Genomic DNA, 27,663 nt, shown 5'->3' on the forward strand with positions numbered 1-27,663 from the left:
CTTAAAGTATAATAATAATAAAGTTAAATTAAAAAAAAAAAGAAAGTCCTTGAGGGAGCAGGGAAAATGATTGTTTTAATAAATCATAACACTTGAATACGTAATGTGTCTCTAGGGCTTGGTGAAGCCTGAGGGAGCTCTGGAGGAACAAACATCTATGTAATTGTTTGAGTTTTGAGTTGAGCTGGCTGCTTGCTTTTCTACTGAACTCCTCTTAATTTAAAGAACGATAGACCAACTATCACTGCTAAGATTGGAGTATCTCTCACTTATTTATAAAAACTGAATGAGTCTTTTACTTCAAGGAAAATGACAAAATTTGAGCCCATGACAAAGTTAAAGTTTTCTAATTTTCATTAGTAATAAAATTGTAATTTTCATTTGTAATTTTCTAACGAAAATTAGAAAATTTTCAAAAGCTGGTATCTATCATCATGAGTTTGACAGTTTTTCAATGCTTTCAGATCCTCCTAATGAAATACATGGTAATATCAACAAATGTATTTTTGTAAATAATGTATAGGACAATGTATAAATATTTGAAAGAACTCATAACTCGATGAATCATTATTTTCAAATGACCAATGTATGAGGTACAAAATCATGCATATACAAAAAATTAATTTAGGACAGAAGTTCAGCCAATAAATTTTGATGTAAGAAAATAAAAAATGTTTATTTTCAAAACCCCATATCCAAATTGCATCTAAAATTTAAGATGACATCATTTGCCAATTTTTGTTATAGTATCAAATAATATACTCAGTTATTTGAAAAGATTTTTAAAATACTAATTTCCTTTTCAGCTATATGTACAACTGGATTTTTAAAAATATTTAATTAAAACAATGTTGTGCAACAGATTGAATATAGAAACATATATAACAATCCATATATTATAGACTAACAATAATTCAAAGAAAGCTAAAATGGCTATGCAAATGTAAGACAAATTTGATTTCAGAGTAAAAAATGTTACTCAGGGTAAAGAAAGTCATTTCATAACAAAAGGTATTGAAGAAACAAAAATACACAGCAATTTTAAACATTTGCGTACCTAATTACAGAGCTTCAAAATACATGAAGCAAAAACTGATAAAGCTGCAATGAGAAATAGACAGATTCACAATTTTAGTAGATGATTTAGATAAATCTCTCTCAATCACAGATCTGACAAGTGTTAAGAAAATTAGTAGGGATCACAAAGCCTTGAACAACACTGTCAACCAACTTGATCTAACTGACATTTATGGAACACTTCACCCAACAACACTAAAATATGTGTTATTTTCAAGTGGTCATGGAACATTTACCAAGATAGAGCATATTCTTGCCCATAAAGCAATTATCAAAACATTTTTTAAAGTTCAGATCCTTTAAAGCATAATCTCTAACCATGCAGATTCTTAGAAAATGTTCAGTATATGGCAACAAAATAGAAAACTTTCAAATAAATCATGGAACAAAAAAGTAATCACAAGGGAAAATAGAATGTAATTCAAGCTGCAGGAAAATGAAAACACAGCATATCAAAATTGAAGAGATGCAGCCAAAGCATTACTTAGAGGAAAATTGATAGCAGTAAATACCCACATTTAGAAAGAATAAAGGTCTTAAATCACTGATCTCAGCTTCAACTTTAAGAGACTAGAAAAAGAAGAACAAATGGAGCCCATAGTAAACAGAGGAAATAAATTAATAAGAGGTCAGAGCAGAAATCAATGAAATTGAAGAGAAACTAAACAATACAGAAATGTATGTAAAAGTAAATTGTATTTTTTTGAGAAGTTCAATAATATTGACATGTTAATAGGCAGATGGAACAAGTAAAATTTTTTTAAAAATATGAATATCAAGAATTTGAGCTGTGAAATTACTACTCATTTAAAGGATAATAAAGAAAGATAAGAATAATTTTAAGCCAACAAATTTGACAACTTAGATTAAAATTTATAATTTCTTGAAAGATACACACTATCAAAGCTCACTGAAGTAGAAGTAGATCATCTACATAAGCCTGTAAGTAGAAAAGAAATTCAATCCGTAATTAAAAACCTACTTGTAAGAAAATTCCAATTCCAGGTAGCTTCCCTGGTGAATTATTCCAAACATTTAGCAATGAAATATTAACAATTATACACAAACTCTTCTATGGTATTCCAGAGAAGAGAACATTTTTCAATTAATTTTGAGACCATTTTTACTCTGACAGGAACAACAAAGTCTTTATAAGAAAAGTCTACAGCCTATCATAACTCATAAAAATACCTGTAAAAAAACTAAACAACATTTTAACAAGTCAAATTCAACAATCCATAAAAAGAAAAAAACATCATTACAAATTAATATTATTTCAGAATATGAGTTTTTAACTTAGGGAAATTAGTTAAGCCCTCATATTCACAAAATATACAAACAAAAAATGGTCATGTCAATAGATGTAGAAACTTTTGAAAAAATTCCAAATTCATGTCAGATTAAAACACACACACACACACACACACACACACACACACACCTCAAAAAATTACAAACAGAAGGATACTTCCTCAAACTGATAAAGGGCATCTATGAAAAACCAACAAGCAATGTCATAACTATAATGAAAGCCAGAACACTTTCCACCTAAGCTCAGGAATAAAGGCAGAGATGTCTCACCATTTCTACTCAATCTTGTAAAATAGTTTCTTACCAATACATTTAAAGAAGAAAAAGAAATAAAAAAAATCCGATTGGAAAGCAAAAATTAAAAATCCTTTTATTTGTAGATAACAAAATCACCTAGGGAGAAAGTTCTAGGAAATCTATCAAAAAAGCTACTATATAACTAGCTTGTCTCTGTTATGTATATATTCGTATACACATACACACACCATAGACGATACAAATAACATTTTACATGTGTATTTAAGAGAAAATTTAATCTTTCAAATCATCTTCCCAGGTGTTATGGCATTTGATTTCTATTGCTACAAACATAGAGACATATAAACAACATAGTGATTTCCCAAAAAACTAGGAAAGTGACAGATTGAAATTCTCTTCTGAGATAAGATTCTACAGAAACCTTATCTATATTCTTTCCCTGACGGGCTATACGTCTGCACAACCTAGATTCTCCCTACACCGCCCCCCGAGCCAGATCAACACAGCCCTCAGACTTAATGTTCATCCTGAATTTAAACCTCTTCTTCAGAAATAAGTCTGATCTGAGAATGAAATGGAGTAAAGATTGGCTTACTCACCTAGGATATGATTAAAACTTCCATGATTGCCCATGTGCTAAGAAGACATTGGCCTGAATATTCACAACTTCCCTGTTAACTTTTAAAGCTTAAGCATTTCCTCTGTCATTTTTTTAAAACATGAAGTGCAATTTGAAGAATTTGATATTCTCAGATATGAGTTAATTTGTTTTGTTTTTAGAATACAGCTCTGCAAAATTCACCAAAGAAGTTTCTAGGTTTCTGGGATGACAGGATACAAGATGGGCAGTTCCTCTGATACACAAAGTATATATCACACATAGATGAGTTTCTTTGTGCCACGCACAGTTTTAGTCACTGAGGATGCAAAGATAAGACACTCTCCATTCTGGAGACGCTTAAGACAGGTGAGAAAACAGATGTGTGAGCACATCGTGATGATGCACTGTTGTCAACTCTGACAAAGGGGCACAGAAGGAAAGGGAAGGGAAGCAGGAAGAAGATTTTTCCTCGACAAGAGGGACATGAAAGACATGACTGTTGACACAAGGAAGGAATACATAGAATGGGGAGCCCTTGGAAGAATGGGCAATTTTATTTCGTTGCTTTGTTTTCAAAAGAGATAAAATTCCTGAATGACTTCAAATGACTGCTGTTTTCTAATATGATACTGGAAACCAGCATCCTTCTGTTAGCTGCCAGCTGGTGCATCCACACACCACACTCACTGCATTGCTAATAACTGTTCACAACCAACTCTTCCTCTGGAGAACTTCCTTGAGCCAAAGGAAGGAAGCCATTTATTGACAGACAGCAAAGTGGGTACAAAAGGTGAGGCCTGCTTGTCAGTACAGTTTGTGCCCCAGAACTCGCCATGGAAACAGACTGAAGTGAGTCTCCAGTAAAAACATCCTTCTGCTTAGCTCTTTACTCCAATTCTATTCCACTTCCTCTACTCCCCTCCTCCAGAGACCACTTTTCCAATAAATCACTTCAATAAGAAATTTCATCTCAAGCTCTGCCTCAAATGGATTTCAGCGAAAACACAAACTTCTTAATATATTAGTCAAGATGTGTAATAGTTAACCTATATCCATTCCGACACTATTTCTTCACATCTATACTTTGTATGCTTTTCATGTAAAACAATATACCATTTTACCAACTTCAATATAGACACACTACAGTTTTCTTATTTTTCTATTGCTTTTAAAACGACCGTTGTTACTCCAATTTAACTAAAAAACATTCCTTCTTTCCTCTCTAATAGTAGCAGTACTTTTCTTCCATTTGTAGCCCACTTCAGCAGCCTTAGCTCTGTGAACCTTTTTTTGGATTTTTTTCAAAAATGGTGACATTGTAAGAAGGAAAAACACATATCTTGTTTCTCTTTACTATTTTATTTTACAGCTGCTTCTAATAATTGCATCCATCTTGTAAGATGGAAAATGTTACATTTCTTGAACTCACTGAAATAAGTGCAAAAATCTAAAGTAATAGGACTATTATAATCACTACTGTATTCATAATGTAGCAACAGAAAATCAGTATCTAGTTCACCATAATCCTAGTAAAATGATATGCATTTTCTGAATAAACTTTACTGACTGATACTAACATGCATCATTCCTAAAGTTTTTTAATGAAATAACTATGAGGAGATAATTAAATATTTTACCTTCTATCTTTAAACATTAAAAGAATTGGAATATGACATTTACATGGTTTGGCTCTGTCCCCACGCAAATCTCATCTGGAACTGTAGCATCCATAATCTCCACATGTCATGGGAGGGACCGGTGAGAGGCAATTGAATCATGGGGTCAGTTACCCTCATGCTGTTCTCATGTTAGTGAGTGAGTTCTCATGAGATCTGATGGTTTTTTAAGAGGATTTTCCTCCACTTCGCTCATTCTTCTCCTTCCTGTCACCATATGAAGAAGGATGTGTTTGCTTCCCCTTCTGCCATGATTGTAAGTTTCCTGAGACCTCCTCAACCATGCTGAACTATGAGTCAATTAAACGTCTTTCCTTTATAAATTACCCACTCTCTGGTATGCCTTTATTAGCAGTGTGAGAAGGGACTAATACAGAACTTTTAACAGATTATAAACAAAAAACAAAATCTCTGAAGACAAATTGTGATTACACACATTTAGAGTTAATGATTAAGAAGTTTTATCTTTACCTCAAAAGAACAAAAGAGTTAAATTTAACTGCAAGCTGAAATAATATATGTCTTAAAAATAACATGCTTTTTTCCACCACTATTGTATCTCTTACCTGAAGTCGGAACCTGCTCTTCTACCATTTTCTGGAATCCCAGGATCTGGACACATGTCAGAGACCAATGCAACACCTCCTTGGCTCACTGTAATAGACAGAAACATTGTCAAAATGCTGTATAGTTATTGAGGAAATACCCAGATAAAAAATTTATTCTAGGCATTTTCAGTTCTTTAATGATAATGACTTAAAATGTGATCTCCAAAGGAATTAAGACACCTTAAATACATTCAAATAAGTGTTTATATTCTGATTGGTGAAAATCAAACATGTGTTTTCCAGTGAAAGGATGATAATCTTTGGTTTTATTTCTCTCATTTTTAAGATGTCAAAATTTAATAAAAAATCTCATTTGGTCCTTATGATTACTTTTATGCCAGGTCACAATTAACAGCATGATCAGAAAAACAGCATTATGAGAAAAACGCATACACTTAGAGAGAAGAAAGTCTTCACTTATTCCCATAGATGACAACAGAGATGATATTTACTAACTTCTATACAAAAGATACTTTAAATAACATTATGTATATTTTAAACATTGAAGTGCTTATCATTGAACTAAAACCCATAATGGTTTCTTTGTTCAAATGCACTGATTTATTTCTCGAATTTCATGGAAAAACTTTTCTCCTGTTGGGACTTGCACCATCACAGAATAATTTCTAAAGAACTCATTTGTTTATTGGATAGAGTAGCTCTCACTTCAACATTCATTTCATCCTGTATAATTTGTCTAATCAAACTAACACATTTCTTTTTTTTTCTCCCAGGAATTTGCTTAGCAGAGGGCTTGGGACCCAATTCAGTATAATGAGATGTGAGGGGAAGTCCACAGGAGTACTTCTGGGAAACATTACAGGATGCTAATAAAGTGCATATCTATTTTACTCTGAAAATTTCTGTGTCCAGGTTTCAAATGTAGAACTATTGCTGCCATTTTCCTATAATCCAAGGATGGAGACAACAGCATGTATGCAACAGAAAAGATGTGTCAAGAACCTGGACCTGCTACCTTATTGTTAAGGCAGAAAATCAACCAATTTAGGAGCAATGTCGCAATTCTGAACATTCTGTTGTATTTATTATAGCTGATTTACTATAGCGTAAATCCAATGAATAGCTGATTCTATTATTTGTAGCTGAAAGGTATACATATAAATATACATTTTCTCACAAATATTTTAAATAATTCCGTGAGAAGAAAATAATATGTCTGGGTATATGTGGAACTCGTGAAGCATTTGATTAAAATTACCATAAAAACAACAGTAATCATATCAAGTTTAGCTTAGTTTGTTTGTTTTGAGACAGGATCTCACTCTGTTGCCCAGGTGGGAGTGCAGTGGCACAATCATGGATCACTGCAGCCTCAACCTCCCAGGATCAAGCGATACTCCCGTCTCAGCCTCCCTAATAGCTGGTAACACAGGCTTGTGCCACCGTGCCCAGATAATTAAAAAAAAAATCTTTTCTAGAGATGGAGTCTCACTATGTTTCCCAGACTGGTCTCAAACTCCTGGCTCAAGTGACACTCGCACTGTGGCCTCCTAAAGTGTTGGGGTTACAGACATGTGCAACCACACCCAGTCAAAATTTATCTTTTACTACTAAATGAGAATAAATTTGGGTAACATAATCCTTCATTAAATACAAATTCTATTGAATATATTATGTGGTTTCATTCTTAGTAAGTACTTCACTATTCCAAACGGGTTAAGATATTTTTTAGGTATTTTTATTTCTTTTTTAAAATAAGTTTTTTTTAATAACATCTAAACATTATTTTGCTGCATGATGTGACAATTATATTGAATTCCAAAATTTTATTTTCTAAATGTTTAATTTTCTCAATATTATATCAAAATAATCCAGCAAGTTTGGTGATAGCATCAGTAGATAGTGAGACAGAAAGCTCCAGACCTGTATTTCCCTATGGAAACACCAAAGAAATGACTACCAGAAGATTAAAATAATTTTACAGGAGCGCTAAATGACAGTAAAAAAATCTGTAACAACCAAGCAAATGCCCAATGAAGAAAAAGATGTTCAAAATAGGACTATATTTCATGATGTCTTACTCTCCCTTGTTTCATACCATGACTTGCGTGGCACAGTGCAGTTGAGAGGAAGCGGCCCAGTGACCAGTTTCCTCTCTAGGTATGAAGAAGCAGAGAGAAAGTGGCTGGCAGCACGATGGTCGCTCTGTGGGCTGCCTGAGAGACTGAGCTCTGTCTTTCCTGACTTGCAGGTCAGATGAGGAAGGGCGGCATAATTGGGATCTCTGGCTAGCAGCCATGAAAGGCTGTGACAAGCACTGCTGTATAGAAAACTGCAGCAAGATTGCAAACCCATGGGTACACTGGGGTAAGGGATTCCAGGCAGAGGAATACAATAGAACACATATCTAAGGTCCCAATGAGAAGATGAGGTTAGATTCTTTGGAATATTAATATGTTTAAAAGCAGCTGGGGAAAAAAATAAAAACAAAAATACAGCAAAATGTACACACAAACCCAGACAGGACATGTACCCCCCAAAAACGTGAAAACACCTAAAGTCTTCAGTCCAGGTTGATCTCAACGTTCAGAGGCCCACTAATTAGTGAACATTTTCTACCGTGTTCTGCAAACATGGAGCACGGTAGTTAATTTTTTTCAAATGCTTATTTTTTTTTAACAAAAACCACAAGGCATACAAAGAAAGAGGGAAACATGGCCATTCAAAGGGTCGAAATAAATCTCTAGATACAGTCACTGAAGAAATATATGCATCAGACTTGCTAGACAATGAATTTACAACAACAATTATAGATATGAATTTAAATAAAGGAATATAAACTTTCCAAATTTGAGGAAAGACATAGATGTACAAATTCAAGGAGATTAATGAACACCTAGTAGGATAAACATCAAGAGATCCACAGCAAGACACATAATAATCAAACTGTTAGGAGCCAAAGAAAAAGAGAGAATCTTAAAAGCAGAAAGAGAAAAGCAAGTCCTCATAAACAAGGGATCCATAATAAGACTATCAACAGGTTTCTCCATAGACATTTCACAGGTTAGAAAGCAATGGATAGGCTGGGCACGGTGGCTCACACAACGTAATATATTCAATAGAATTTGTATTTAATTCCAACACTTTGGGAGGCTGAGGTGGGTGGATCACTTGACGTCAGGAATTCAAGACTGGCCTGGCCAACATAGTGAAACCCCATTTCTACTAAAAATATAAAAATCAGCCAGGCATGGTGGCAGGCACCTGTAATCCCAGCTACTTGGGAGGCTGAGACAGGAGAATAGCTTGAACCTGGGAGGCAGATGTTGCAGTGAGCTGAGACTGTGCCCCTGCATTCTAGCCTGGGCAACAGAGCAAGGCTCCAACTGAAGAAAAGAAGAAAAGAAAAGAAAAGAAAAGCAATGGATAATATATTTAATTGCTGAAAAAATGTCAGCTGAAAATTCTACATCTAGGAAAACCATCCTTCAAAAATGAAAGGGAAATTAAGACACTCCCAGATAATCAAAATAGAGTGAGTTTATTACCAATGTATGTTCCCTACAAGAAAGTCCTTCAAGTTGAAATGAAAGGGCACTACACAGTCACTTGAAGCCTCATGAAAAGAAAAGGGTCCCTAGTACAGGTAAATACATGAAAATATATATAAAAAAGTATTATACTAAGTTTGACTTAAAACCCCCATGTTCATTTCCTACAGTATTTAAAGATAAATGCATAAAATAATTATGCATTTACGCTAATAGTTACATTATATATAAAGATGTAATTTACAACAGCAATAGCATAAAGTAAGGGAGCAGACTTGTAAGGATTGAAGTTTTCGTATATGAATGAAGTAAACTGGTGTCAATTTAAGATACTGCCATCATTGTAGGATGTTATATGTTATCTCCATGGAAACCATAAAGAAAGTATCTATAGAATATGTAAAAAAGAAAAGAGAAGACAATCACAACGTGACACTACAAAAATATCAACTAAACATAGAGGATAACAGTAATGGGACAAAGGAGGGACAAAAATGCTGAAAGACATATGAAAATTGAATAACAACAAAATGGTAAAAGTCAGAGCTACCCTTTAAATAATTATTTTAAATATAAATTGATTTAACGCCCTGTTTTAGGCTGAATTATGTCCCTCCTCCCCGCAAAGGGTTACACCTTGAAGTTCTAAACACCAGTACCTCACAATTGACTGTATTTGGAGATAGAGACTTTAAAGAGGTAATTAACTTAAAGTGTCATCCTTAAGGTGAGCCCTAATCCAACATGACTGGTGCCCTTCTAAGAAGGGTAAGTTAGCAGAAGAATACATAAAGGAAAGTCCATGTGAAGACACAAGAAGAGAGTCATCCACAAGACAAGGAGAGAGCGCTTAGAAGAAACCAACCCTGCCCAAACCTTGATCTCAGGCTTCTACCCTCTAGAATTGTGGTAAAGTGAATTTCTGTTGTTTAAGCCACTCGGCGAGTAGCGTAGCACTTTTTTTATGGCAGCCCTCGAAAATGAATCACCCCAAACCAAAGACATAGGTTGGCAGGAGGCGTTGAATAGTAAGTTAATAAGTAACAGAATGCAACTGTATGTTGCCCACAAGAGACTCACTTTAGGCGTAAGGACACAAAGAGGTTAAAAACGAAGAGTAATCAAAGTCAGAGAGCCAGAAAGTAGAATGATGGTTTTGCCAGGGGCTGGGGCAAAGGGAAAGAGAAGAAGGAATATAAGGTGTTATTGTGTAAAGTACTTCAGCGGAGTATGATGAAAATTTACAGAGATGAATAGTGGTGATGGATGTACAATAGCATCAATATATTTAAAGCCACAGAAATGCATGGTTTTTACTTTTCTTTTCTTACTTTTTTTTCTTTTTTTGAGACAGAATCTTGTTCTGTTGCCCAGGCTGCAGTGCAGTGGCATAATCATGGCTCACTGCAGCCTTCGTCTTCCATGCTCCAGCAATCCTCCCAAATAGCTGCAACTACAGGTGCATGCCACCACTCCCAGCTAATGTTTTATTATTATTATTATTTTATTATTATTATTATTATTTTGTAGAAACAGGGTTTCACCATATTGCCCAGGCTGGTCTCAAACTCCTGGGCTCAAACAATTCTCCCACCTCGACGTCCCAAAGTGCTGGAATTACAGTAAGTTATCGTGTCCAACCAGAAGTGTATGCTTATAATGGTTAAAACCAGCAAGCCTGATGTTACTTCTGTCTTATGTCTCTCTCTCTCTTTGTGTGTGTGTGTATGTGTGTGTGTGTGTGTGTGTGTGTGTTTGAATAGGTCTGTATTTCTAACATTCTGATACTCTACTACTTTTCTCTTCAAGCCCATGTTTTCACAGTCTGCACTATGTGCTGGGGTACAGTTCTCAATGAGTAAGCAGTGGTCTACTACTAGCTCTCTGAAATTTATCTTGTAAATGCATTTAGCTTTAATAATTTCAAAATGTAATGCAGATTGTTACTTCTGCCACGTTTATTCTTTCTGCCATCACAGGCTGGATGTCTTCTATACTACCTCAAGCAAAATCATTATTGCTGTGGCAAATTAAAACAGCTTCATCAAGATGAACGACTATCATTGATGTTTGTCAGAAATAATAGACTCTAGCTTGGTAGTTAATGCACTTTTCCACAATACCCAAACTGGTTGAAAATACAACACACCAAGGCTTACAAAGGCCCACTTGCATGTCTCCTTTTCTATTTTTCTCACAAGGAATAGCAGTTAAAAGAAATGGCAGAAATTGGAGCTACCTGCCCAAGTTGGGCAAAAACACTCTGGATCTTTTTAAAGATAATGCCAAAGTCACTTACTAAAAAAAGGTTACTTAGTTGGAATTCTGTGAAGGCGCAAAATGATTTAGACAAGCCTGAATGGATTGCAGATGGTAGAAGATAACAAAAAGTGATTAGAGATTAAATGTAAAATACAGGCGATTTTCTGAAACAGAGGGAGTTGTTTCGTGTGATAAACAGTCAGAAAAAGTATGCTGACACACTGTATGTGCAAGGAAATGATAGCTCCATAAATCCCAACTATGTATTCCATCCACACCATGAGTCATTGATTCATCTAGAAATAAAAGCTCCAAGGTTGGAAAGAATCATGGAGATGAAACCACTTCAAGAGGAATCCTTAGTACCTCAGAGAAACATTTTCAAAGAGAGGAATTACTGGGCTTAATATCACTTTAACTCTAATTTTGTTGAATTATATCTTTTCAGATCTCATAGAACACATGACATAGATAGTAATAAATATGTTAAATGTAAGTCAAAACCCTGTAGTTAAAAATCAAAACTGAAAATATCAATAGATTGGTTCATTACACACCATTAATATTAAAGAAAGATATGTAATTATGCAAGTGGATGATCAGATATAAATTAGACAGTTTGTAAAAGAGTTTAAATGAATTTGATTTTAAAAGTATAAATTACATATATTTTCAATGACTTTTTCAAAGCATGTTGATTTATAATACCTCATTAGATCTGCACAAAACCTTGTGACTCTGCAGGGCAGTAAAGAAAATTCTTCTTCATCAAATTACCCTGCTGTTTGAGGACATGCCATGTAAGTATCAATTAAAACTCAACATGAATTTCTTTGTAGCAAACTATAGAAGTAGATCAGGTGCCATCATGAATAAAGCAAGTGTCTGAAAAGAAGTATAAGCAACGACATCTATGACAGAGATTAGAAACAAATCAATTAGTGGAGATAAGATCTATATGAGTGAATAATCAGAATTAATTACAAATGAAGCGCTAAAAATAATTACAATGATACAAAATTAAGCTTATGTGTTTGCTAGAAACTCTTAGTATCATTTACATATGTTTTTAAATGTAATCCTTATAATCAGGCTATGAATTGTTAATATTAAACCCATTTTATAAGAAAGAAAACTGAGGCCAGAGTTAAGAATGAGCTGACTCCAGGGCCGGGCGTGGGGGCTCATGCCTGTAATCCTAGCACTTTGGGAGGCCAAGGCAGGCAGATCACCTGAGGTGAGGAGTTCAAGACTAGACTGAACAACATGGAGAAACCCTGTCTCTACTAAAAATTAAAAAAATTAGCTGGGCGTGCTGGTGTGCATCTGTAATCCCAGCTACTCTGGAGGCTGAGGCAGGAGAATCGCTTGAACCCGGGAGGCGGAGTTTGCAGTAAGCTGAGATTGCACCACTGCACTCCAGCCTGGGTGACAGAACAAAACTCCACAAAAAAACAAAACAAAACAAAAAAAAAACCTTTCTGTACTCTGGCCATAATTACCTTATGAGACATTATGCGTTGAAGGGCTTTGTAAACTAAAGAGACACTTTTGGTTAATAAAAACTTATTTTTATTTCTTAAAAGTTGCCTTCCTTTCATAAAATTTAATTAATAATAAAAATACACTGAGCATCCAAAAGAAAAATGAAGAGGTGTTTTCATTTATATTCCCAACCAAACATACACATGGGAAGCCATATGGTTTCAACCACGAGTCTTTAGTCCAAACCATCTGTTAGCAAATTTCCTTCAGCTAAGAGGAAAGAGAAAGACTTTCCATGGAGAATATAATCCACCTTTAGAGAACAAGAGCCACAGATTGGCTTGAATGTTAAATCTCTATGTAAGGTGTCATTTTAAGTTAAACGTTGATTTATATTTGGAATAAATAAACCAATATAAGAGCCATTTAGATAAACTCACACTTTTTAGCACGAAGGCACTTACGATTGATTATTATTGTCTATTTTCATTGTTGGTACTTGTTTCTTCAAAGATGTACAGATGTATTTCAGTTGGATCAGTTTTGAGACAAACTGTAACCATTTAAGCCTTCAGAGAGGTGACGTATGTTTTTATCTGCATAACCATCAGGAAAGTGGTTATACAAAACATGTTCTCATTGAAATTTTTAGTAGCAGTCTCCCCAGTGTATTGATGAGCTTTGTTTGAGTGACAGCCCACTCTAGGATATGTGTTTGAGGGACACTCTAGACTTCAGACCTTCCTGCTTTACTCAGTTTGAAATATGTCAACAATGACAGCTTTTTACTTCAGCATTTTGTAGACTCAGTATTATCTCATTGAATTGAAAAGTAATAGCTCTATTTTAATAAATTTCTCCTCTTTGATTTGCAGGAGGTTTATATCTCAGCAAGAATGAAACTTTGTCATGCCACACCCTTCTTCAAAAACTAATAACTTGATTAGATGACAATTTGAACAATAAGAAAATGTTGCCATGGTAATCATTTCTTTCTTGCAGCCATAAGAGGATAATTTTGATTTACAGCATCCTACGAGACATTTCTACATGCATAACAGTTTTTTTTTTATTTTTTGCTGTTTTTACAGAATATTTGTACAGTCTCTAGCAGTAGCTGTTTTTTCTCTCATAGTAGTAAACAAATGTTTACAAGTTCTATATAAACAGGTAAAATAAGAATTGTTGACACTTGGATGATAAACTCTTATTATCGGAGCAACATTAGAAGCTTTAAATGAATAGTTCACATAGAAGTAAGTTGCTCAGCACATATTGCTTTTATACGTATTGTTTTAGATCTCATACTAATGGATCTCCAATTGGACGTGAAGAGCTTCCAACCCTGAGTGAGAGACAAGGGCTGCATTTTCCAAGTGTTTAACTTATTACATTGCCAGATTTTTTTGTCTGGCCCCTCTTTCCTCTCCCACTACATACCTTCATGTGCTGACTTTTAAAACACAAGGGGTTGATCACCTATTATCATAATTCATATGCCCCAATTTTACCCATGTTCTCTGGTCTCTAACTCAACTGCCATGGTCTTAAATCAAGCTCTCTTTTAGTTTATAGTAATTTATTTTTAAAAAATACATTTCAGCTTCTAATGCTATGTCCTAAAATATATAAATGATACACTAAAAAAAATAACTCTATTGTACATAAAAAATAAAACGATTTGGCATTCCTAAAATTCAGTCATTCAACATTATTCTTACTACTCCCTACAGAGATCCTATGATCTCAGTAGTTTTGAACACTGCAGATTCTTACAGTCTTTATTTATTTTTAACATCGCCTGCCCTAGGTTATTTTTCTATCAGAGGGAAAAACAAGTAGATTTTTCATAAGGGCTCAGATATTAACAATTATCTTTCCAACTGATATATCACGGTAGCAGTAAATGTTCAAAGAGAAAATGTTTTCCTTATAAAGCTTCAAATTAAGCCAAGATGTTTATTTACTATACACATAAAATAAAAAATAGGAATATTCTACTATAAAGTCAGTGTAAATGACCTTAACAAAATTAATGGCACTGAACATTTTATAAGAGCCTGGAGAATCGTCCTCATCACCATCTGTCTGATTCCACATGGTGCTCTGAGATGTTCACCGGAATGTATATTGGCAGCACCAAAGAGCGACGTCTCTATGCCTCCGGCTGGCTCCCGCAAATGCAGAGTGACTGTCACCTGGGGAGAGCACCGGCTTAGCTGGAGGACTTAGGGCCTGTCATTTCTGCTCTAGTCTCCTTCTGCACATTTAAGAACTCTAGACTTAAGACTCAGAAATAGTTTTGGGGGCTCACTCAAAAATATCTTACAGGATGCCCAATTATTCATGGTCTCCTCACAGTGAAAGTAGCATTTGACTAGGCCAGTTTATATTACTTTGCATAGAATCTGTAATTCAGGCCAGCAACTTAAAAATGTGGAAAGAAATGGGAAAAAGTCTTAAAGTCGTTATATATTTTAGAAACATATATAGTTATAGTTAAACATAATGTATTTAAATATTTATGTAAAATATAATAATTAAATCTTCAAGTTTTATTTGTCATTCCCTAGATTTAGAAAACCATGAGATATGATTTGAATGATGAGTCCCCACAGAAAGTTTCTTTTTGATTATAGTTCATTAGTGATTTCAGGATAAGTACATTCCAATACAGTAAATATGGATGATATAAGTATGTATTATGTAATTTATGGACATATTTTATTACTTTTATATATATTACCTATGTATTCAGAATAAGAGAATAGTGTCATTAAAACTTTAATACTATGTATACTAAATATAATTTATATATCAAAGTAAATATATACAATAAATAAGTGTATTTACATAAATACATAAATATAAGTATTAATAAATTAATATTTAATATTAAGGCTTTATTAAATATTAGTATATTATACAGTTTTAAATACACAGTTATACAGTGTTTAGTATTTGTTTACCATAGTACGATATATAAAAGGAAATAAGTTCAAGTATTTCCTCAGGAGTTTAGGCATTTTTAAAGAGCAGAAATATTAAATTATCTGGTTGAGAATTGCTGTGATAGTTTAACATTGTAATTAACCTATCAATAACTCCATTTGATGTAGTCACTCAAAAATTTAATTCTCTTAGAATATGTGCAGTGCAATTTCACCCTATATGCTATTCAGATATTTTGCAGACGCAAAATTGAGAGAACTGAGTTTAAGATTGTGATAAAAACCTTCTGTGCAGCTGTTCATGCCCATTTTGAAAATACCTAGCTGCAAGACACTTGGGAGAAGTAAAATTTAACACGTGATGCTATAATACGTGCGTTAAGACTTCAATTTCACAGATCATGAATTATTAAGTTATATATATCCTTAAAGAAATCACGGCATATCACCTCGAGTCCTGAAATCACAGACATTAACATGCACTGAGAAGACTATGTAGGTTATTTAAAGTCGTGCTATTATTTTTATTTATATAACCTCACCTGAATATATGAGACTACTTTTAGTATGTTCCTCATCATAGTACATTACTTACAGGTATCTGTAAATGTGGAAAAGGTAACAATCTAATATTATATTCTATAGTGTAAACTTTAATGTTTATAGGGAACTATGAGATAATAATAAAACAGGAAGGGTGATCACATATGCAATGTTTTATGGTAAGCACGTTTTTATGTATTACATAATTTAAGTGTCACAAAATCTTTAGGAGGGAATTATTACTTTGCTGAAGAAATGAGAAAAGTGAGGGTTGGAATTTCAGCCAGCACATCTTGTTTATTTAGCTGATAAATATATTAAGGTGTCTGATTTCAAAGCCCACATTGTTCTTTGTACATTAATTCACTGTTTTCACTTTTGACCTTTAGGAGAGCTTTAAGGAGATAATATTCATTCAGATACCACAAGTTGAAAAGGAAAATGAGAAGTACTTCACACTTCGCTAATATTTGAGCTTACCTTATATATCTAATATGAATTCCTATGTAAAAGATTCAAAAGGGCAATGTAATATAAAGCAGATTAAAAAACAGAACGTGGTGTAATTCTATTTTTTTAAATAAAAGAAACATAGAAAAAGACCGGCAGTGTTGCAGGATATACTGTCTTCACCTTTGTTGACGTGTAAACCCCCCTTTGGTTACTGAATCTCTACCATTGTAACAACGCGGTTGTATTTTTATTTTTAAAATTTGTGTTCTAATAATGCTCTACAATGAGAATAGTTCTTTCTTTAAAGAGAAAAACAATCACAAAAGCCCAGCAGAGGTTGCAGCCCATGCACACTTCTCTGGAACCATCCTGCCTGCCCACACCGGCCGAGGGTGACCTCACGCCCCTTCCTTGTTTACCAGAGCACAGGCCCGTAGTCATGGGGACTTGGCCCAAATAGGGCAAGGCTTCCATTAACCGTAAGTCATGAATTTGAATTATTTTAAAAAATCCTTAAGGATTACTTCTTGGAGAACTTTAGCTATGATGCACACAGTAATATGAAGCCCTTAGTGATGAAAGCCAGAGCTGGTTGGATGCCACTGGGCCACGGCAGCCACTGGGCATCATGGCAAGTGCAGGGGGAGGAAGAGGGAGTGTCTCAGAGGGAGGCAGCTCCCGCAGAGGGGAGGGCATGGGCATCCTCACAGGCGCCCCGAGAAGGGGCAGACTCACAGAAAGAAGTGTAGGCACCCTGCAGATCACGTCACAGCTCATGAGAGCCATACGGAAAAGTGACCAGCGCCTACAGCCAAATTATTAGTGGCTTCCTAGTTTTGGCACACGTGTCCGAGCCAAGAACTCTCATCTCTCTCTTTCTTAAGTGGTTCTAGTAACCCAAATAATCTAAGTTTTTTTAAAAAGATTATTCAAAACGAAGACAGGCAGGAAAAAATAAGAGAAGGAATAAAAAGAGTAGGAATGAGAAACAAAAGAAGAATAAAAGATAAAGAAGGGAAGGAGGATAGAGAAAAGGGAAAGAAAAAGATAAAATAGAATTCTAACCTTTGCTTCAAGGAATTCCAAGCCTTGGGGAACAGACAGTTATCGACACAAGAGGAGTGAGAAGTCGGGGGAAGAAGGGGTGTGCAGAGGAGACACCTCAGGCATGACGTGAGCAAAGACAGAAAGAACCCGGGATGTTCGCAGGACGCAGGGGAACTTGCTTGTAAAGGGGAACAGCTTCAACTGAGAAACAAGAAAATCCAGGTCAGTTACTGAGGCAAAGGTCAAACCATGAAGACCCTTTCTGAATAAGATGCTTAATGGAAAGCAGAGACTCTTACTTAATATTATTTTCTTTCACTGATGCATTCAGCTGACATTCAGATACAGCGTCCTCCATTATTTATATGTGTATTTAGTTACATATAGTTATTGTTGGAAATTTTATATATAAGGGCTTTCTCCCTTAAAATATCAACCATACAATATTATTGGGAAAATTTAATGACATGGAATACACAATACACCTAGCATTGCTCAATAAAGACAACGTTACAGCAAATATCAGCTCCTCATCTTTTTCTCCTGTAAACAGTTTAGACTAAATTATTTCAGTGTTTTCTTTCAACTTTAATATACCATGAGTCAATCTCTATGATTCCTATACTCAGGATTATTTTATCAAGGAATGTTATAATACACAAGTTTATAAGAGATTACGGAGATAGAAAAGACCACATGATCGGCACAGAAAGAATAAAGGTAAAACACTATATGCCAAAAGAAACACACACCTTTCATTTCAAAAAGACAGATTACTTGCACAGTATAAGGAAAGGCTAAAAGACATAACTTCGGTCCGTCAGAAACACAGGGTTTGATGTCTCCACAAACAAAACTAGTTGTACAGGAAATCGTGCCTTTTCACTTAGAAAAAAGTAGATTCAAAATTTTCTTGTCACAGTGTTTGTTTGTTGCCTACAGTCTTATTGAATTATATTTAAAAACTGGCAAAAAATGTTGACGTATATTTGAACAGGCCCCAGAGTTTTATTTGTAAAAAGAAAACATTTCAAATGATTACTTTTCTACATTAGAGATCAAAATCCCCATGGAAATAACACTTTAAAAGAGAAATAGAAAGTTAATTGTAGCCAGTTTTATTTAGTTATTCAACATCCAGTCAGTGAAATATTGACTGAATGCCTGGTACAGGCAGGCTCTCCGTCAGCTCCTGGGAGGGAGAAATTAATAGCTAGATGGGGGAGCATCAGATTTTGGATAGGGTCACAGTTGGACTCTGATGCAAAATGACATTTAAGCTGAAATGGAAAAGATGGGCAGGAATTACCTAAGGTAAGAGTGAATTTAAAAACCCTCTTGCCCAGTAAACAGCAGAAGCCAAGCCCTCAGGAAGGAACGAGACTGGAGTATTCAAAGATCCGAAAAAAGATGAATTGGCCCAAACCACTGAAACTTGAGAACAAGAAAGAAGAAAAGGAGAAAGCATGAAAGATGCTTAGATGAGAAGGTCCAATTTATATGTTAAACAGTTCATCGTCGCTACTCCTACAGACCCAGGCAAAGCCAATTAGAGGAAGAAGGAGAGGAGGATGTTGAAGTCATTCAGACAGAAGGGTGAAGTGTTGGGCTGGCATGCTGAGTGAGGGTTGAAGGGCAGCAGACAGATTTCATTGCGTTCGAGAAAAAATGTGAGAGAAATGTGTGAGTGGTTTGCTTCCAAGAATTGAGGGAAATGGAGTTGCCTCTCTGAAGCCACTGAGCCAACGGTGGTAGCACTCACCATGGTGGCTAAAGCAATAGAAGAACACATCACGATTTGGAAGGTCAAGAGTTCCATTGCTGATCTCAGATCCCCACAGGCAACCAAGAGGAAACCTCAGTTGGTCTGTTGGTTATATGCATGTGTGTCTGGATTAGAGAGCCGAGATCTCTTAGAGAAACATGGTATTCACTTTCTTCCAAGAGATGAGACTGAAAAGCATGGGAATCATTGATGTGACCTAGAATGGGACTCAGCACCATGTTGAACCCTTGAAAACGCAATCATGCTTCTTTGCTCGTGCCGCTCCTTCCACCCAAAATACTCTTCAGCCAGGTCTTCCTGTCACAGCCTGCTCAGCACACAGGTATCAGCTCAGATGTCATCTGCAAAATGGCCCTCCCTGTGCACCCTGGCTAAACCGGCAGGACTCCTTCCCCTTCTCTATCTACCTGCTTTATGTTGCTATGTGGACAGCACGTAACACGATCACAAACTGTATCCTTCGTCGACTCAGCACCCTTCCAACTATCATGTAGGCCCATGGTAGCAGCGGATTTTCTGTCTGGTTTATTGTTCTCATTCTGAGTCTGCACAGAGACTGTCACACAGTAAGAAAGCAACACGTGAGGTAGTCAGTGACTGGAGTAGCAAAGAAGCCAGCCCGTGGCTGAGCCTGGAGCGTTGTGAACATTTTGAGGTCAAGAATAGGCAGATAAAACAACACAGAGGCTGAGGAGCAGGCAGATAGGCCGGGAATAGCTTAGGGGATTCCAGATAGGAAAATGTTCCAAAATAGAAAGGTTTGCAAACAGTTTGAAATGACGCTAAGAAGCCAAATCGGTAGAAGACAGGGAAGGATCCATCGGTTTTGCAACACTGAAGATCACTGGTGATTTTAGCCAGTCCAGCTCAGGTGGAATAATGGAAGATTGAAGTCGTCAGACGGAGGGAAGAAATTTTACTGTTCGAGAAAAACTCTCTGAGAATAGCATTTGATTAAATAAAGCGCTCTCAAAGGATTTATCTTGAAGTAAACTGGGATTTCTCTGCCTTAGGCACTAACAGGTCAACAAGTGACTTGACATTCTTAATTTATCTTTAAAACGTGAATTCCCCCCTGGTCCAAAGATAACCTGACTTTATGCAGAGTAGACTGACGAAGCAAAACCCCCCAGATCACTGCCTCTTTGTATGTTAACAAATTTCAACATAGTAGCCTCAAGTTACACATTGTACACTTAGAAATTACTGATTCTCTAACCATAGGTTAACTCATCATTCAATCAGCATTATTTACATAAGAAAGTAATTGTTTTTTTCTCTTCAGATTTTGTTATTGTTGCTTTTATTACCAGAATAAAATTGAGCAAACATTTTCTTTAACATTCCTGCTAGAGAAAAGGGATTTATTTTAAAAAATTCAAAGAGCTATAGCAAAGGCAGAACTACTTTGGCAATAATTTTAGAAAATGCAATCATTTCTAGGGCTGGGCTTTAACCATTTGATAATGCATCTTAAATCAACAGTGTTGGTTGGAGGCATTCTTCCATCTCATAGGTAAAGCCCCGTTCGCCTTCTTGGACCTTCAGCCCTGACACCCCCCCATCCCCACTTAATCCTCAATGACTTATTGAATCAAAATTAAAGACTACCCCTGGGATATGTCCATGTTATAGGAGATTATTTTTTAATGAGAAAAACACCAAAAGTGCCTACATATATCTCATTAACATGTCATGATAAAACCTTAGATTGTGATGGGCGTTGAAGATGAGTATTGGTTAGAACAAGTGGGATGTCTGGCTTCTTTTTTAAAAAATTGCATAAAGATGATGATTCTGGATTTACTACCTAAATGTAATGCTAATTCTCCTGAAAGAATTCCTTTACATTTAAAAAATAATTAAATAACTGTCACCCTAATGATTCATCCATCAGTACTATTTAGGCACAGGAATGACTTCAGTTAAAAAGATGACCACACCAATGTCCTTGCCAAGTTTTGCTGCCCTTGTTTTGTTTTTGGCAGTCTCCATTTGCTTTCCTGTTTCAGGTGCAAAGACATCTGTGTCTATTGGTTCCCCTTCAGAGATTATGTTCCTGGTTAGTGATCCTGTTTTAAGAAGGAAGTTCTCTGAGAATGGCAGACAACAAAATGAAGCAAGGGGCTTCAAAATTATAATGATCATTTCAGAAGTATAAATTACACTTTAATAACACTTTGAAAAGTGGGTGCTCTCGCACCTGAGAGATATGTTTCCTCAGTGAGTGTCCTACTAACTGATACTTTTAGTGTTAGAGTCTGCCCTGTTGACTCCCAACACTAATTTATTAAATAGTTGCTGACGTCATTGTTTTAACATTTATTTCTCTAACTTTATGTTACCAAGAATTTATAGACAGTAAATCATTAAACATCATATATGATGAACACACCTTTTCTCACAGAACTCAAATAAAACATAACTTAAAATGTCTACATTGGATATAACATAAATTACTCTGACACTGAGAAGTACCACATAAAATTATGTGGAAAATGCATACTCAGAAGTGCATCGTGTCATACATAAGACTCAGAGGTGCACTGTGTCAAAGGTGTCTTTGGTCCTGCCATATTTTCTTGAGACTGACAAGTTTGCAAACTAGGCAAGACTTCACAGTGAATGGTTGCTACTCCCGGCAGGATAATGCAAATAATATCTAACATATGTATAATACAAGTCTGTTCCCAATTTAGAAGTCAAATACAGATGCAATGGCATCAGAATACAATGGACAATTGTATTAGTGGTGCACGCACGTCAAAAGTTCATTTCATTTTTAGCTACTTAAATTTTCATCTTAATTTGAAAGGATAAATTAATATTTCCTAATTTAAAAAATGTTAATGACATATTTTTCAATCTTAAGACATGAAAATAGTGTATATAAATCTGAAAACATTCAATGATCCTTCAATTAAAAATGGAAATGTCATGTAAACACTGATTTCCCTTCAGCAACCCCATAGGCATTGCTTTATAATCAGATATTACTTCTCAAGTATCCACTTGATGCATAGCTTGTAACCAGCTATGAAGTGTTAAATATCAGGCTGTGAACATCATAGACACAGAGAAGAAACCTGACGTATGTATTCAAAACTATTTAAAATGCATAGGGCATAAAATACATAAAATATATCATTCCATTTCAAGTGGATTCAGTATGAAACATGAAGATGAATATGCATGACCCTTATATAAAATGTCTGTAAATGTTTTATCTGGGATTACTGTCAGTGAAATAAAGGGCTGACTCAGCACATCTGGGTAGGGGGTGGTGGGGGGAGGGGGCCGTGCCCTGCCCGTTAGAAGTTTGGTTCTTGACCTGATGCTGGGAAGTAGCCTCTAAACCCTTGGAATGTCCTAGCTTATGAGAGTGTCTTCGTTTACCTGGGGACCTTAGGCCACAGCAGATAGTCTATGTGTTCACGTGATTAATGGTGGGGGCCTTTGGCCACTTGGTCCAGCCACATGGTATTGGAGCACCCCTCTGGTAGGACTGAAGACTAAGGTCAGCAATGTGGGTGGACAGCATGCCTGTGTGACACTCTGTGACAAACTCCAGTTAAACTTCTATAGGCACCGAGGCTCAGGAGAGCTTCTGTGGTCTGCAATCCTCTGTGCGTGGGGTCACACGTCATTCCTGGGAGAATTAATGCTGTCGGCACAACTCTACTGGGAGTGGACAACCGCAAGTTTGAACCTGCTGTCTCCCGGACTCTGCCCATGTACCTCTTCCCTTTTTTGCCTTTAAACTGTCTCTTTTCACTGTCACAAGCCATAGCCATGCACATAATGACCTTCCTGAGCTCTGTGCAGCCTTCTATCAAATTACTTAACTCGAGAGTGGTACTGGGGACACCTCAAACTGCACATCCAACAAATGAAATGAAAGGTGTGATTAGAACTGTGCTGCCTACTCAGCCTTTCTGGATTGAGCCATGATTAAGGCACACAGTTTGATTGCTTACCCATTAGTGAATACAGCCATGCATCATGTGTCCTGAGAAATGCTTCCTTAGGCGATTCTTGACGTTTTGCAAACATCACACAGTGCACTGTGCACTTGCCCAATCCTAGATAGTAGAGCCTGCTGGGCTATAGGGTACAGCCGCTTGCTCCTAGGCTACAAACTCACACCACATGTGACTGTACTGAATAATGCAGGCAACTCTAACACAATGGTAAGAAATTTGTGTATCTAAACCTAACTAAACATTGAAAAACTAAGGTAAAAACACTGTTTAATGATAAAAAAAAAAATGGGATGCCTATATAAGATACTTACTATAAACAGAGCTTGTGGGCCTTGACGTTGCTCTGGGTGACTCAGTAAGTGGACGGTGAGTGCGTGTGAAGGCCAAGGACATGGCTGTGCACTGCTGTAGAAACACTGTAGCCAGGTGCAGTGGCTCACGCCTGTAATCCCAGCACTTTCAGAATCCTAGGTGGGTGGATCATGAGGTCAGGTGTTCAAGACCAGCCCGGCCAAGATGGCAAAACCCCATCTCTACTAAAAATACAAAAATTAGCCAGGCAAAGTGGTGCACACCTGTAATCCCAGCTACTCGGGAGGCTGAGGCAGGAGAATCACTTGAACCCGGTTGAACCTGGGAGATGGAGCTTGCAGTGAGCCGAGAGTGCACCACTACACTCCAGCCTGGGCAATGGAGCAAGACTCCATCTCTTTTTTTTTTTTTTTTTTGAGACAGAAACTCGCTCTGTCACCCAGGCTGGAGTGCAGTGGCGCGATCTCAGCTCACTGCAAGCTACACATCCCAGGTTCACGCCATTCTCCTGCGTCAACCTCCTGAGTAGCTGGGACTACAGGCGCCAGCCACCATGCCTGGCTATTTTTTGTATTTTTTAGTAGAGACGGGGATTCACTGTGTTAGCCAGGATGGTCTCAATCTCCTGACCTCGTGATCTGCCCGCCTCGGCCTCCCGAAGTGCTGGGATTACAGGTATGAACCTCTGCGCCCAGCTGCTTCCATCTCAAAAAAAAAAAAAAAAAAAAAAGAAAGAAAGAAAGAAAAAAAAAATGAGACACTGCACACTTAGGTTACTCTACATTTGTAACACAAAATATTTTCTTCAGTAATAAATTAGCTTTAACTTCCTGTAAGCTGACTTAGTTTACTTTTTGGCTTTATAAACTTCTATTTAGCTTTTGGCTCTTTTGTAATAACACTTAGCTTGAAACACAAACACATTGAACAGCTGTACAAAAATATTTTCAGTCTTAATATCCTTACTCTATAAGCTTTTTCTATTTTATTATTTTTTTGTACTTTTTGAAGTTTTGTGTTAAGAACTAAGGCAGAAACACACACATTAGCCTAGGCCTACAACACAGGGTCAGAATAATCAACATGACTTCTTCCATCTTTGCATCTTGTCCCATTGGAAGGTCTTCAGGAGCAGTAACAGGCGTGGAACTGTCATTTTCTAGGACAACGATGCCTTCTTCTGGAATCCCTCCTGAAGGCCCTGCCTGAGGCTGTTGTACAGGCCGGGATTACAGGCATGCGCCACCACGCCTGGCTAATTTTTGGATTTTTAGTAGAGATGAGGGTTCTCCATGTTGGCTAGGCTGGTCTCAGACTCCTGACCTCAGGTGATCCGCCCGCCTCAGCCTCCCACAGTGGTAGGATTACAGGTGTGAGCCACCTCTCCTGTCCCTGGAAGTAAAATCTTTAGGAGTCTATCTAAGCCAGTCAAACCCCTTTTACTTAACCTACCATCTGTTCCTGAGGAATGTACATGTAACTTTATGCTGGTCATGAAACGGAATGTGAAAAACATCTTTTCAGGAAATGTTTTCTCCCACCCTACAAAACAAATCATGACGCAGAGATGCTCTTCTCCCTAGTCTTGATCCTGTGGAGAGGTGAAGCCTGGAGCCACGCTCTTGTGACCATCTTGGGAGCAGCTGGCTCAGCGAGGATGGCAGGGAGTAAGGCAGAGAGGTTCTCCTGACACTTCCACACTTTGAGTTTCATACGATCATATCTTTTCTTTATTTTTTGCTATATGAGTTTAAATGTCCCTTCCAAGACTCATGTTGAGATATATAGATTTTGTTGCCATTGTGAGGTAACTAGGTCATGAGTTCTCTGCCCTCATGAATGAATTAGTATCATTATTGAGATGATGGATTGCTATAAATGCGAATTTGTCTCTCTCTCTCTTTCTCTCTGCTTGTTGCCCATCTGCCTTCCACCATGGAATAACGATGCAGAAAGAAAACCCTCGCCAGAATCAGGATCCTCATGCTTGAACTTCCCAGACTCCAAAACTATAGAAAATAAATTTCCTTCCTTTATAAATTATCCCGTTTGTGCTATTCTGTTATAGCAACACAAAATTAACTAGGACAATTGTTTAACACAGTTTTTAAGCTGTGTGACATATTCTAACTTTTACTAGGTAATTTGTAATCAGAATAATCCTTACCTAAAAACAGGTTGTCTCACTTGCTAGTTGTGTATGCTTGGGGGAGTTTCATAAACAATCTATGTCTAAGATCCTTTATCTGTAGAATGTGGATTCTTATGAGTTTGGGCAACATAAAGACCTGAATTCAAATGTCTAACCACCTTATTAACTTAAATAAATTAAATAATGTATTTGAATCTATTTTCTAACATTTGATAAGGTAATATGACCTACCATAGCTTCAGAATTGTTCTTCTTTGACTATAATAAAATATACAAAACTACCTGACAAGAAGTATACAAGAAATAGTTTGCTTTTTTCCTATTTTTTAATACTTTAGTAAAATATTGACTACTATTTTGTTACCTAGTATATACTGGGTGCTACTGTTGGCACTATTAAAGTCTATGATTCAATCCCCCCAACAATCATATGAAACAGGATGACAACTGAATTACCTCTGGCATACAGGTGTTAAGTAGGGATATGGTTTGGCTGTGTCCCCACCCAAATCTCATCTTGAATTGTAGCTCCCATAATTCCCACATCTTGGGAGGGACCCAGTGGGAAGTAATTGAATCTTGGGGGCCAGTATTTCTTGTGCTGTTCCTATGGTAGTGAATAAGTCTCACAAGATCTGATGGTTTTCTACAGAGCAGTTCCCCTGCCCACACTCTCTTGATTGCCGCCATGTAAGACATGACTTTGGTTCTCCTTCACCTTCTGCCATGATTGTGAGGCCTCCTCAGTTATGTGGAACCATGAGTCCATTAAACCTATTTTTCATTATAAATTACGCAGTCTCAGGTATGTCCTTATAGGAGCATGGCTTTTCTAACCACACACAGCTATCAAATCAAGGAGCTCAGATTTAAACCCAAGCAGGTTGAGTCTTAAACGTAAGATCTCCTGCCCCTCACTGATGTTTCCTTCCAATATTTTACTTCAAACCCAGTTCAGCAAGTCTTGGAGTTCAGAACTGGGCTTTAAAACATTGGTAGAAAAAATTCTATAGATAAATAAATAACATGTACACCATAAGCAATTTACATAGAAAATGTGTCATCCATTTACAGTCAGTTTTTCCAAATTGTCTAAAACCCAGTGTTAGCTTCAGTGTGTCCCAAGAGGCTGTAGCCAGGTATCAGTTATTGGTTTGATGCTGAGAGAAAGGTCCTAGTTTTGCCCACCGCAACTGCACCCCTCCAAAAAAAAAAACACTGCCTCTGAAATTCTGAAACCTGGAGACGTGATGATAATGATGACAAGATTCCTAAATATATTTGGTAATTCAGGAGTAGCAGAGATTACAGAGGGGATGCTTGTCCCTGCCTGCAAAGTGCAATCTGGAAAGGGTCAGAATGTGCTACCTTTCTCCTGCCCAGTCATGTGGAGGAGCAGGTGAAACATGGGCAAGATGTACCTAGAAAGAACGGTTCTGTGGACCAGAAAGTCGACACATGGGCAAAAGGCTTGTGGTCAGAATACAGAATGTAGCTGTGAACTCAAAGGACCCACAGACCAAACATACCAAGAGAGAAACCAGCATGCATAGGTGACTCTGAGACTCCTCCCTCTCTCCTTCCTCACACCTTGTCTCCAGGAAGATACCCTGGAATATAAAGATAAAACTACAAGAAAAATGGGG

The 27,663-nt window shown here is 36.7% G+C and overlaps 1 protein-coding gene across 3 annotated transcripts in view; it reads right to left on the reverse strand.

Moving 5' to 3' along the window:
* CSMD1 (CUB and Sushi multiple domains 1) overlaps positions 1-27,663 on the reverse strand; it is a 2,059,554-nt gene that overhangs the window by 675,860 nt on the left and 1,356,031 nt on the right. For all 3 annotated transcript variants that reach the window (XM_011534752.3, NM_033225.6, XM_017013731.2), the window contains exon 8: positions 5,490-5,577. In XM_011534752.3, coding sequence (XP_011533054.1) covers positions 5,490-5,577 — 88 coding nt within the window. The remainder of the gene's footprint in view (positions 1-5,489; positions 5,578-27,663) is intronic.

Source organism: Homo sapiens, chromosome 8 (assembly GCF_000001405.40).
Source record: "Homo sapiens chromosome 8, GRCh38.p14 Primary Assembly".
Taxonomy (NCBI): domain Eukaryota; kingdom Metazoa; phylum Chordata; class Mammalia; order Primates; family Hominidae; genus Homo; species Homo sapiens.